General features: G+C 57.5%; 1 protein-coding gene across 11 annotated transcripts in view, besides 5 other annotated features; it reads right to left on the bottom strand.

The window, feature by feature from the left end:
* The window catches only part of ATG16L2 (autophagy related 16 like 2), a 29,330-nt gene that overhangs the window by 12,406 nt on the left and 4,573 nt on the right, over positions 1 to 12,351 (bottom strand). For 2 of the 11 annotated variants that reach the window (NM_033388.2, XM_011545334.2), the window contains exons 4-18: positions 9,594 to 9,667; positions 9,040 to 9,291; positions 8,792 to 8,857; positions 8,374 to 8,487; positions 7,213 to 7,275; positions 6,493 to 6,601; positions 5,928 to 6,033; positions 5,092 to 5,162; positions 4,746 to 4,817; positions 4,512 to 4,632; positions 4,042 to 4,147; positions 2,827 to 2,976; positions 2,559 to 2,606; positions 2,351 to 2,452; positions 1,700 to 2,032 (exon numbers count right to left, since the gene is read on the bottom strand). In NM_033388.2, the coding sequence (NP_203746.1) occupies positions 1,945 to 2,032; positions 2,351 to 2,452; positions 2,559 to 2,606; positions 2,827 to 2,976; positions 4,042 to 4,147; positions 4,512 to 4,632; positions 4,746 to 4,817; positions 5,092 to 5,162; positions 5,928 to 6,033; positions 6,493 to 6,601; positions 7,213 to 7,275; positions 8,374 to 8,487; positions 8,792 to 8,857; positions 9,040 to 9,291; positions 9,594 to 9,667 (1,542 nt within the window). In that variant the 3' untranslated portion in view covers positions 1,700 to 1,944. The other 9 variants (NM_001318766.2, XM_011545333.2, XM_005274376.6 and 6 more) reach the window with 9 other exon arrangements.
* Positions 4,497 to 4,997: an enhancer, noted in NCBI's record as "H3K4me1 hESC enhancer chr11:72537383-72537883 (GRCh37/hg19 assembly coordinates)". NCBI's record gives its function as "activates a minimal SCP1, AML or CMV promoter by ChIP-STARR-seq in primed H9 embryonic stem cells {active_cell/tissue: H9 hESC(primed)}" and the evidence as "EXISTENCE:reporter gene assay evidence [ECO:0000049][PMID:30033119]".
* Positions 7,958 to 8,077: an enhancer, noted in NCBI's record as "active region_5212". NCBI's record gives its function as "activates an Ori minimal core promoter by ATAC-STARR-seq in GM12878 lymphoblastoid cells {active_cell/tissue: GM12878}" and the evidence as "EXISTENCE:reporter gene assay evidence [ECO:0000049][PMID:35858748]".
* Positions 8,128 to 8,237: an enhancer, noted in NCBI's record as "active region_5211". NCBI's record gives its function as "activates an Ori minimal core promoter by ATAC-STARR-seq in GM12878 lymphoblastoid cells {active_cell/tissue: GM12878}" and the evidence as "EXISTENCE:reporter gene assay evidence [ECO:0000049][PMID:35858748]".
* Positions 8,278 to 8,607: an enhancer, noted in NCBI's record as "active region_5210". NCBI's record gives its function as "activates an Ori minimal core promoter by ATAC-STARR-seq in GM12878 lymphoblastoid cells {active_cell/tissue: GM12878}" and the evidence as "EXISTENCE:reporter gene assay evidence [ECO:0000049][PMID:35858748]".
* Positions 8,928 to 9,097: a silencer, noted in NCBI's record as "silent region_3732". NCBI's record gives its function as "represses an Ori minimal core promoter by ATAC-STARR-seq in GM12878 lymphoblastoid cells {active_cell/tissue: GM12878}" and the evidence as "EXISTENCE:reporter gene assay evidence [ECO:0000049][PMID:35858748]".

The raw sequence follows: 12,351 nt of genomic DNA, 5'->3' as shown, positions 1-12,351 counted from the left end.
AGGTTTCACTATGTTGCTCAGGTTGGTCTTGAACTCTTGACCTCAGGTGATCTGCCCTCCTTGGCCTCCTAAAGTGCTGGGATTACAGGCGTGAGCCACCGCATCCAGCCTGAATAAGAGAATTTAACCACTTAATAAACATTTCCTGAGTCATTCTCTGTGCCAGGCCTGATCCCAGGAAATAATCTATTCCCATCCTGGCCTCTTCCAAGAGTTCCTTGACTTAAAATGGAGGAGGCAGATACAAAAGGGGAGCTCAGGGACAGAGGAGGCCTCTACCCAGCCTGGCAGGCGAAGGAAGGGGAATCCTGAAAGAAAAATTTGAACTGGGGGCTGGGAGGGAAGGAGAACATTCTGGGAAGAAAGAAAAGCATGTCTGAGATGCACTCATGATAGCAAGGAAATAGCCAGGCACGGTGGCATGCACCTATAGGCCCAGCTACTGGGGAGGCTAAGGCAGGAGGACCACTTGAGCACAGGAGTTTGAGACCAGCCTGGGCAACATAGTGAGACATCATCTCTAAATGAGTAAATGAATGAATGAATAGCAAGGAAATGAAGATGAAGCTGAGAGGCCAGCAGGGTCACATCCAAAGGGCTCCAGATTTCATGCTGGGGTTGCGGGTGGTCTCTGAAGGCAGCAGGGGAACTCCAAAGGATTGGACTTGTGAACACGACACCCTAGAAAGTCACCCTGTTGGGCCGAGCATGGTGCTGTGCACCTGTAATCCCAGCCCTTCGGGAAGACCAGGTGGGAGGATTGCTTAAACCCAGGGGTTTAAGGCTGCAGGAGTTTGAGGCTGCACTAAGGTTTTTTGTGTGTCTCAAAAGCAACAACAACAACAACAAAAGTCACTCTGGCCATAGTAAGGGAAAGGATTGGATGGGGAGACTGCAGGTCTAGAAGGTGGCCCACAGTGGCAGGAGGGTGGAGGAGTACTAGAACCAGCAGCACAAGGTCCCAGGGACATGGGGTGCAGGAGGAACGGGTCACTTGCAGGGGAGATGATGGCCAGGAGGCAGCTAGACCAAAAGTAGTGAGTGGTCTGGGAGTCAGCAGAGTGTAGGTGTTGCCATTTAACCAACACCGTCTCCACAGGCCTGTGCCCAGTCCTAGGTTGGTAAAGGAAGTTGGTTTGCCCCAACTCTGCCCTGTGGGCTCTGCCTTGTAAGCAAAGCCCCAGGCCCAGATCTGGCCCACAGCTGCCCTCCCCCAGGCACAGACACACAGAGGCCTTGCTCTGCCCCACCCTGGGCACTACCCCTGGAGGAAGAACGCGGACCCAGTCTAAGGGAGGCCCTGTGGACCAAGGACTTTGATATCACTACCTGGGTTTTTAGGATCTTCCCACCGGGACCCCTCTGGGCTGCCTCCCTGCCCTCTCCTCAGAGCTCCCCCAGCCCCTCCTCAGCTTCAGTCTACCCTGAGTGCCTGAAGCAGGTGGGCCCAACATGTTGCTTTGGCCTCAGGACCAGGTTGGACCAAGAGTCACATCCATGGCTCTTTGCTGCCTCAGGGCCTTTCTTCCTGCTGTTTCCATGGTTAGACTTGAGCAGCACCTGTCTCTGCAGGCAGAGACTCGGCTGGCTGCCTCAGCTCTGTATGGAAGGAGGAAGGGGGCCAAGCCTGGATCTTCCAGAGCCCACTAGCCCAAAGGTCTCTGTACCATGAATGCTGCAAAGAGGTAGGCAGACGCAGTTCAGATATCATTTTTTTCTACTTTGGGAGAAAAAGTGAGGAGATAGAGATAAAAATACAAAGAAAAACTAGCGTAATCCCCCAACCCATACTTCATTTTTAAACAAACAGGCCAGGTCCTGCCAGGCCTTCTTCCCCATTAAATCCCAAGGCCAGCTCCAGTCCCAACCCCAACCCCTGCATGGCGCCGAAGGAAGCTTCAGGCTTCGGGCAAGAGCTCCAGCCCAGGCAGGCAGGTCGTGGCCCTACTGCCAGAGCACAACCTTCCTGCCCTGGTCCACGCTCACCATGTGGCTCCCGGAGTAGCACCAGGCCACGGCGTTGACGGCAGCGCTGGGGAAAGGGAGGGGCAGGCTTCAGGGGGGCTTCAGGAACTGCGCCTGCAACCTGGCTCTGCCCCGACTGCTGGACCTGGGTAGTTTGAGGCCCTCTCTTGAGCCTGTTTCCTCATCTGTCAAGTTAGCTCACAGGGCTGTGGAAAGGATGGAACCAAGTGCGTGTGGAAAGTACCTTGTGAACTGCAAAGGGCTCTGGTCGGGTGGAAGGTGGAGGGACAAGGGCTGGGGACTCCAGGGTCCCAGTATGTCAGAACCTGGAATCAGCCTGGCAGGACTGGGGCCAGGCAGGTGGCCAGGTGGAGGCCATGCTCACCAATGGGGTCCCTGTAGTCTGCTCTCCAGTTTCCCGGTGTCCACATCCCAGATGTAAAGGGCCCCATCACAGGAGCCTGCCAGTGCATAGCTTCTGTCCGGGCTGTAGTGGCCACAGCAGAGCAAGAAAACGGGGGGTCAGAGGGGAGGGCACACACAGGGTCCGGCAGGGCACACTTGGACACAGGCATATGCTCTCACGGACATACCTGAACACAGCTTTGGTCCAGTCAGAACCACACTTGAAGCCATCGGCCCTGAGGACAGACAGGGCTGGGGTCAGAACAGAGGTCATCACTAGTCTCTGCCCTCTGCAGTGAGCTTCCAGAGCTTCCTCTTTGTCGAGGGGTTTGGTACCTCAGCAGGACCTGGTCTGGAGGGGCCTCCAGGGAGGGCTCCAAGAGGGTCTATTACAGGAGAAGAGAGGCTCAGCTGTCCCAGCAAAGGCCACAGGGTCAGCAGGCATGAGGCTGGTACCTGAACACCTGGCGGATGTTGCTGACACGCAGGTCGATGACCTTGAGTGTGTTGTCTCGGGAACAGCTGAGCAGGTGCAGTTGGTCGTGGCTGAGGCTCAGGGAGGTGACCCGGCCCTGCACAGGGATGACCTGGGTGCAGTGGGGCCCCCTGAGGAACAAGGACAGAGACAGGGATGAGGAACAGCCTAGCCAGGCCACTCCTGACAGGAAGGGGCCAGGCGCAGCAGCCTTCCTAGCTAACCAAGTCCGGAGGAACCCCAGGGCCCTGGATCGCTGGGGTAAAGGCTGCGAGTGACTCATCTCCCTTCTCCCCACTGCAGCCAGCTGCCTCCATCGAGGAACTTAGACAGACTTTGATTTGAAAGCTGGAGCCTTTGAAACCTTTGGGTCACTAAATAAGAACCATATCATCTGAGCAATGAAGTCTCGTCTTTAAAAAATATGAGAGAGAGAAGGAAGGGTTGCAAACAGTAATTGCTGGAGATCAGTGAGTAAAGGCTTGAGGCAGGCCTAGCACTGGCTCTAGCTTTGTTTTTTTGTTTTGTTTTGTTTTTGGTTTTGGTTTTGTTTTTGTTTTGAGACATCTCGCTCTGTCGCCCAGGCTGGACGGCAGTGGCGCAATCTGGGCTCACTGCAACCTCTGCCTCCCGGGTTCAAGCCATTCCCCTGCCTCAGCCTCCCAAGTAGCTGCGATTACAGGCATCTGCCACCACACCCGGCTAATATTTTTAGTAGAGACAGGGTTTCGCCATGTTGGCTAGGCTGGTCTCAAACTCCTGACCTCAGGTGATCTGCCCGCCTCGGCCTCCCAAACAGCTGGGATTACAGGTATGAGCCACCACGCCTGGCCTCTAGCTTTGCTTTTACAAACAATTCAAGCCCAAAGTTAGGGTCTTTGGTTTAAAAAACAGCTAAAAGAATTTTTTTCCTTTTGATATAAAAGTGGTAACTAAATGGAAAAAGGTACATCTCCATCTTGGTTGCAAGGTCCAGGCGGAGTCCAGCATTGGACCAAGAGCCATGAAGACAGTGGCACAGCTTCCTGCGGGAGCTGAGCCCAGCCGAGAGGCACTAGCTGGCAGTGCCAGCCCCACAGCCTTGCCTGCCCAAAGTGCCACCAAGACTCCTCCTGCCATGGCCAGAGAAAGGAACAAGAACTTGGGAGCCCTGTCCCCAGCCCTCCCCAAGTCCTCCCCCAGCCTGCGCCTGTCACCTGCTGTCCCAGAACCGGATCTTCTGGTCATTGTGGCCACTAATGATGATATGGTCCCCACACACCACGTCATTACAGTAGGAAAGGACATTGATGGTCCTGGAGCCTGGGGACCAAGCAGCAGACCCCAGGGCCTCAGAGGAGGGTTGTCGGGAGCCACCCCACAGGACATATGGAGAAGCTGAGGCCCAGAACCCAGTGTCCTCCCAAGACTAGAACCCAGGTCTTCCGCTTCCCAGCACAGGGCTCACCCACGTCTTTTTCCTACCCACAGCCTGAGGTCACCAAGAAACCAGACAGAAAACACCACTGGGGGATACCATTAGGGAATTGGAGGGCCTTGAGAGGTTTCACCCCCAAATGCCTATGAATCTCAGAGCCACTCCCAGAGAGCAGGTGAGGTCCCTTGTGCCCTGGCCTGGGGCTCCTGGCTGGTGGGGAGGAGAGGTGGGGCTGGGGCTCGGGCTCACAATAGGCACGGCCGAGGTCCCACTCCTTCACTGTCCGGTCGCGGCTCCCAGTCACTGCCTGGTGCCTCGTTAGCTTGAATTTGGCAGCTGTCACCTTATCCTTGTGTCCAGACAGTGTCTCCTGTACCCCGGCCCCAGGTACGGATCAAGAGTTTGGCCAAGACCCCATAACAGGCCCCCTAGTCCTGAGGTATGACCTCTGACCTCCAGGCAGCCTCCCCAGTCAGGCCTCACCTTGGACTGTGCCTCCCCCACCTTCCAGAGCTGGGCAGCCTGGTTGTAAGTTGCTGCTAAAACCTGGTAGCCCTGGAGAAATGGGAGAGGAAGTGAGAGGTGCTAAGCCGGAGGCAACATTCTTCGGGCCACAGAATGAGGCTAGGGGCTGCCTCACAGTTTCCCACGGCCCAGGTCACCAAGGCAGGCAAAGGAGCCTCCGGCCCAAGGAGGAGGATCTGTGTAAGAGCCCAGGGGCCTGGTTCTAGGGTATCCATGTTGCGCCCTCAGGTCCCACAGCCCCCACCTGCCCAGTGTGGAGATCAGAGAGGGCACAATCCCATGCCACTGGGGCAGAGTTCCTCACCGAGGGGTCAAAGTCCACACTGGTGATGCTGCCACCAGCTCCCTCCAGGGTCTGGTTGGCCTCCAGGCGACCTGGGAGGACCAGGGGAAGGGACAGTTGAAATGAGGTCTTAACCTCACAAAATGGAGGAATTGGGATTGAGAGCGGAAGATCAGTTCCCGCCCCACCCCCCGACACATCCCCAGGTTAGAAGACAGAATCGCTGGGTCTGTTCTGCGGGCCTGGGCTGGAGACTACACCTCCCCTAACTGCTGGCACTGGGTCCCAGGGACAGCTAGTCATTTCACAGACCAGGCTAGAGAGGACCAGGGAGAAGGGACTATGTAGAGCACGCAGCAAGCCAGGATCAGGCCAGCCAGAAACTTGCCTTTTCTAGGAAGCCCCCAGGAGCCGGCTCTGACTCCCCAGGACACCCCCTCTCCAGAGCACAGAGCTTGGGACAAGGCCAACAGTTCATACTTGTCTCTTACCTGAGTTCTGAGAGCTCAAGTGATGCTAGAAGAGGGTCACCTGGTAGACTCAGGGACCTGCTCTTCAAGGGCCTGTCCCTGTAGGACCTCATGATAGGGGACCCCCACCAATCCCCATCAGGGACCATCTGAACTCAGCCCTCCCCATCCTGCAAATCTGGACCCTAGGAGCCAGGAGGCTCCACCCTTCTTCAGAACAGTGAGCCCAGAGTCTCACTCTTTCCAAGGCATTGTCTAGTCACTGCCCACAGAATATTCCAGATAGAGAAACACAAAGAGATCCAAGACCTCTGCCCACCAAGGAGTGAGCTGAGGAGAGGGTCTGGAGAGAAGCACCAAGTTGGCCGGCAGGGGAGGGCTCCTTACTTCCCACAACATTCCAGAGGTGGATCAGGCGGTCAGCCCCTCCAGTGGCCAGGAGGCTGCTGTTGGGGCCAAAACGAACAGCATTGACCTCAGAGAGGTGGGCATCCTGTGGGGAAAGGGGAGGTTGGTGCCCCGGCCCTCCCCGCGCATGTCTCTGTGAGTGCTCACGGGCCCTCTTACCGGTGCCTGTGCAGACACAGCCTGCTGCAGACGTGGTATCTCCCTCCCCAGTTTCTCTGTCCACACTCTGAGTTTCAAACCCGGCCCCACCAGGTGTTCTCACCTCTGCCTGGACCCCTGCAGCAGCCTCCGTGCTATGCTACTCTACTCTCCTGCCTGGCCTCCTGGCCTCCCAGCCTCCTCTCTCTCCCTCCCCGGCTTATGCCCACATCATAACATGCTTGAGTGGCTCCCACCACAGGCTGTGGGAGGCAGCCTCCTGCTCCTGCTGAGGAGCCCAGCCTTGCTTCCCTGGCCTCTTGGGACCACCCCTGGTGCCGAGACCACCCCTGTGCCTGCACTCTCTCACCACTGCCCCACCCATGTGGCTCAGCTCCTCCCTTACCAGCACATCCTGAGCCCGGGTAGGAAGTCGGGCAGCCACACACACAGGGATGATCTGGTATCGCTGCTCAGGGGCTCCCCCAATTGAGTGACCTCTCCTCTTCTTAAAACTGGGGTAAGGTGGGTTGGGGTCAGGAGGGCATTCAGCAAGTCCTTCTCAGGTGGGAGCCTCCAGCTCCCCTGAGGCATCAACCATAGGAAGCAGACATGGCAGGCGGCAGAACATGGCCCCAAGGAGCAGCGAGAGCATTCCCCAACCCAGCCTCGACCCCAGGGGTTGGTGTGGAGACGGGGTGGGGAGCACACAGAGGCAGACACAGGAGCAGGGTAGGGTTGGTGGGTGCAAAGAAACCTCAGGGCCGGGGTTTCAATCCCAGTCTTGCCACTGCTTGGCTCTGTGACTCTGAATGAGTCCCTGACATTTCAGAGCATTTTTCCCAATTGAGTAGGAGCTCCTGCCCTGCCTGAGGCTGGAGCTCTTGGTCCCCTGTGACGACCTTGGATGAAGACAGACCCTTGTGAGGACAGAACCTGGAAGACAGCTGAACCGGGGCCGGGGCTGAGGCCATTCACCTGGCTCCTGTCTCCAAGGCCCAACAGACTCACAGGCAGACAGCTGCACATCACAGGGATGGACAGGTCGAGGCACAGACACAGACCAAGCCTGGGCTGGGGAGCCCGACACACACGTGGGTGCACACACAGGCACACACACACTTACTCCAGAAGCCCCTTCACCACATCCACACAGTGGGACAGCGTCAGGGAGGTGGCTGAGGCAGACCTGAGACAAAACCAAGAGAGATATGCTAAGGGACTGGCTGGTGTGTGTACAAATGGCTGTCCATCATCTCCACACTTTGCCAGAGACCTGGAGGCTTGTAACCTCTCAAGTCTGGGATAAGAACTTGACTTCTCCAAGATCAGGAGACCAGGGTGACCCAGATCAGTCCCAGGAAGGTCGGGGCAGCAATGGATTTGGTAATGAAAGTCTCCCAAGGTCTCCCTCATGATGGGAAGAACTGCCTTACCCTACTAGTACCCACCAACAAAAGTTCCTGGGAAGCTGAGCCGGGGCCTACAGGGAGGAGAGACGCTGAAGGTTCCCCCAGGCTGGGGATGGGAGGAGGGGGGAGCCTAGGCTCACTGGGTGACCTCAGCAATGCCCAGGAGAGGGTGTGTCCTACAATGACTTGGCCCACAAGGGCTCCCAAGGACTTTGGGGACTGGCATCTCATGCCCCTCCCCACGGTTTCTTCACTGCCCCAAGGCCTGGACACCAGGGACCTGCAAGGAAAGACTGAGAAGAGGTGTTAGGCTGGGGAATGGCGCCCAGAGCGGGCAGCCTCAATGACAGGCAAATCAAGAAGGATGGAGGAGACCCTGCGGACAGGCACCCAAGGTCTGAAGCCCCAATCAGGTCCCACAAGTGTGAGCACACATCTACACATGCTTATATATTCACACATACAGACGGGCTCAGTCAAGCTTGTACACACCTGTGGCCTCATGTCCCTGCGGATGCACATGCTTGCACACCTATGGCTGCGCACACATGCCTGGCATGACTGGGCTCTGGGCTTTGCCCACAGGTTCTCTCCTGGTGACAGCTATTCAGAAGCCTGACTCCCCACCCCCAGAGCTCTGATCCCAAGAAGGAGGGAAAGGGTTGAGGGTAGGGGTTGGGGGGGTGAGATGGAACTGACCCCAAGTGGCTCCAGACAATGGAGGTCAGACTAGCCCTGGGAGATCTGAGCTTTCTGGCCTCTCCTCAAGCCCCCTCCCAACCCAAGAGCTGGCTCCAAGGTCCAAGAGGAAGACCCTGGCAGCCTCTGGGGTGGGGCTCAGCTCAGAGCTCTGAGACTGTCACCTGGGTCCTCACCTGAAGGGCCTCTTCCACTTCTCACAAGCTTCCTTCTCCAGGGGCTCTGGCTCAGGGGCCAGAGCCAGAGTCTCCCTTCTCTCCCTCATCCCATCGCCTAGGGTGTCCGGGCCCCTAGGAGAGGTAATGAAGTTCAGAAAGGCCAAGGGACCAAGCCAGCCCCTCCCGACCCCAGCACAGGATACGCTGAAGACAGGAATTCCCAGTGATGAGGGTTCTGTGTGGGTGTACACGTGCAGCGGTCACGCATGCAGGCTCCTACGACCACACGGTCCTCTGCAGGTGTCTCGTGGGCTCCGACCACATGGGGGCCTCAGGACGGGGCTGTGCACAAGTACAGTCGGCAGCCTGGGTCGCCGCAGGCAGGCGGGGCGGGAGGCAGAACGCAAGGGTCGGACCGGCCCATCCCCACTCTTACTCGCTGATGCTCACGGTCCGCTTGGCAGCCTTCTTCAGCTCCTGGGACACCCGCGCCTGCTTGGCCCTTGTTGGGTAAAAAGCATCCTGAGACCCTGGCGCGGCGCCTCGCACGCAGGCGGGGCTAGACCCGGTCCCTTCCTCCAGGGGGCGGCTGCTGCCCCCCTCCCTTCCAGACACCGGCGAGGCCCGACTCCTCCCTGCAGGGGCGGGGCCTTTCCTCAGGAGGGGCGGGGCCTGCTCCCTCACCGCTCCCGGCGCTCGTTGCGCAGGTTGCGCTCGGCCGCGGCGCGCGCCTTGCGCTGCACGAGCCTCTCCAGCAGGTCGCGCGCCTCTTCCTGGAGCCTGCGCAGTGCCGCCTCCCGGAGCCCGACGTGCGCGCGCAGCGCCTCGTAGGCTGCCCGCTGCACCGCATTCTGCGCCCGCCACTCCTCCACCTGCTGGGCCTGCTGCGCCCGCGCCTCTCGCAGCTGCGCCACGCGGGCCTCCAGGGCTGCCAGCCTGGAGGACGGAAAGAGCGGATAGCGGGTCCCAAGCTTCCCCCGTCACTGCCCAGTGGGAATATGCCTCGGAGCAGAGACAGACCTGCCCATGCCAAACGCGGCTAGCCGGGTGGCTAAGCCAGGTCTCCCCCAAGCCTTCGCCCTCAGAGCCCAGCCGTTCGGTCCTCTGGCACCAACCGATGGGGTCGGGGGGACGTAGGGAAAGATCTCGGCCCGCGCCATTCCCCCCGCCTCCCGTATAGTTGGCCCCGGGCCTCCCTGAGGTGGGCGCGGTCCCTCCCGCCCCCGCCCGCGCCTCACCTGCTTTGCCTCTGCTGCAGCTCCGACTCCAGCGTGCCCAGGGCCGCGCCCTTCTCCACCACCTGGTAGGCCATCTGGGGGCGGACAGGTGGGCACGGCGGCGCTGAGGCCCCTCCAGGCCTCCAGTCCCTCCGGGGCCGAAGGCGCTAAGGGAGTCGGCTGCTCACCTGCCCGCCCCCTTCCTGAAAAGCAAGCTGAGCCCCACACAGGTTTGGGACCTTGCACAGGGACGCGCTGCTGTTTGTGGAGCAGTGGAAGGCCCTCGGGCTCTGGAGTCAGCCCTGGGTCCCAATCCTCGCCGTGCCGCTTCGTTTCTCTGCGACCCTACTAGGAACCTCTCTGGCAAGAGCAACCCGCTCCACTGCCTCGCCTGAAGAGTGGGAAGCCAGCGCTCCGCTCCCAGCACCATGCATAACCACTGCGAGGACTCCTCGCGCAGAGGCTGCCAAATGCCCATCCGGCCCTCGGGCGCCATGATGTTCCCAGCAGGCTACACGCTCCTTCCATCCTCACCACACCAGGAGGCTGGTACTGCCACTCTCACTTCACAGACAAGGACACCGACAGAGAGGTTTAAGTGTCTTGCCCAAAGTCACGTAGCTAAGAGATTTGGGCACAAGCCACCTACCTAACTGCATCACCCTCCAGGCTGGTCAGGGGAATGTGAGTTCTGTTCCCCACCCCTCCCTGCTGGCTTCCTGGCCTCACCCAACCCAGGCCTGCCCAAGCACAGGTCTCAGCAGCGAGAGGCCCTGCGCAGAGGCACACAAGGCTAAGATCAGGCATGGACTCGGGGAGCCAGGGCCCAGACTCAATATGGGAACAGCGCTGGCAGCCCAGGAGAGTGGGTGAGGGTCATTTCATCTGCACTCCCGCCTCACTCGTCATGCCTTCAACCCAGAGCCAAGCAGGGTCGGTGGGAGAGACAGACCCCAGGCAAGGCAGCTCCCACCAGTGTGACAAGAGAACATGAGGGCCAGAGGCGCCTCTGGCCCAGGCCAAGGCTGGGGGCTCTTGTTGCTAATCTGTTCCTGTGTTCTCACGTGGGCCTGGTGAGGACAGACTGAGGAGCACGGTTGGCGCTGCCACCTGCACTGACATGACGCGCTATGTGAGTGAGTCTGCGAAGAAGGAATCTGCACATGCGGGTTGGGGCACCTTTATTCATAGTTGGCCCCATTTATAACATAATTCTTTTCACCACTGAGCAATCTGATCACCACCTCCACTTTCTCACTTGTCACTTGCTTTCATTTATGTTGTGTTGTACCATTCAATATTTTATTGTATGCCTTTCAAAATTCAAGTAGTAGAAGTGGAAAACAGATTAGTACTTGCCAGGGGTTAGGGATGGTTGGGGGGAGAGGGGTGAATGTGACTAAAAAGGGGTAATAAGAAAGAGATCTTTGCAGTGGTGAAACAGTGCCATATCTTGATGGTTACACAAATCTACACGTGATAAAATGACAAAGGACATATACACACTTCATACCAATCCCAGTTTCCTGGTTGTGGGTACTATAGTTATGTAAGATGTAGCCAGCAGGAGATGCTGGGGGAAGGGGATGCAGGAACTCTGGACTATCCTTCCAACTTCCTGTGAATCTATAATTATTTTAAAATAAAAAGTTAATAATAATGATAAATGCTTGTGATGTGTGGAACTACTAGAGAAATTTTTACAAAAGAAAAGAAAAGGCCGGGTGCCGTGGCTCACGCCTGTAATCCCAGCACTTTGGGAGGCCAAGGTGGGTGGATCACGAGGTCAGGAGATCAAAACCATCCTAGCTAACATGGTGAAACCCCATCTCTACTAAAAATACAAAAAATTAGCCGGGCATGGTGGCGGGCGCCTGTAGTCCCAGCTACTCGGGAGGCTGAGGCAGGAGAATGGCGTGAACCCGGGAGGCTGAGGTTGCAGCGAGCCGAGATGACGCGACTGTACTCCAGCCTGGGCAACAGAGTGAGACTCCGTCTCAAAAAAAAAAAAGAAAGAAAAGAAAAAGCCTCCTCACTGCCCCCATCCTCTGGCGCATCCAATGGGTACTGGCTGGTGTGTGTCCTGGGAAGGAGTGCTGGGGGCCAGGGAAAGTATCTCAGGCAAAGGGAGCTGGGAGCTCAGAGATGAGCGTGGCAGGAAATGCGACAAGAGCCTGGGGAGCTCGACGGGGGAGCCAGGCTAGGAGCTTTGGAAGATCTACAGCGCACTAACCATGGGGACAGAGGTAGTAAGACGGGCTTTTACTTTTTACTCTATGGCTTCTATTCTCTTGACTTGTTTACAAGCATGTTTTGTGTATTGCTTGTCTTTAATGGAGATCTTTCTTTTTTTTTAATTAAAATATGTCACTCTGAAAGCTGTATGGAGAAGGGACAGGGAGTGCTAAAGGAGTGTTCCAGGGCAGGATGAAAGTTACTTGTACTATGTCAGATATGGTGCAAGAAACAGAGAGACATTGATGGATTTGGAGATAGAGTCAACATGAGCTTGTGACCAGCTCAGGATGGAGGGCTGGGAAGAGTCAGAGGTGCCCCTGCATTTCCAGCATGTGTGAGAACGACTGGGGGGCAGTCACAGGAAGACAGGAAGGACAGCCCACCTCATTCATCGCTTAGTCTACAAATAGTCATTAGTATGGAATGGACTGTGGACACAGGCCCTAAGGATATAGGTTTGCCTCGGAGGCAAACGAAGACATCCCAGGGCTTGGGGAGCTCACAGCCCAGAGGCTGGGGGTGGTGTGGGGGTCAGATGTTT

The sequence above is a fragment of the Homo sapiens genome, chromosome 11 (genome assembly GCF_000001405.40).
Source record: "Homo sapiens chromosome 11, GRCh38.p14 Primary Assembly".
NCBI lineage: Eukaryota > Metazoa > Chordata > Mammalia > Primates > Hominidae > Homo > Homo sapiens.
The sequence above is the reverse complement of the archived record's forward strand: the minus strand, read 5'-3'. Positions and strand labels throughout refer to the sequence as shown.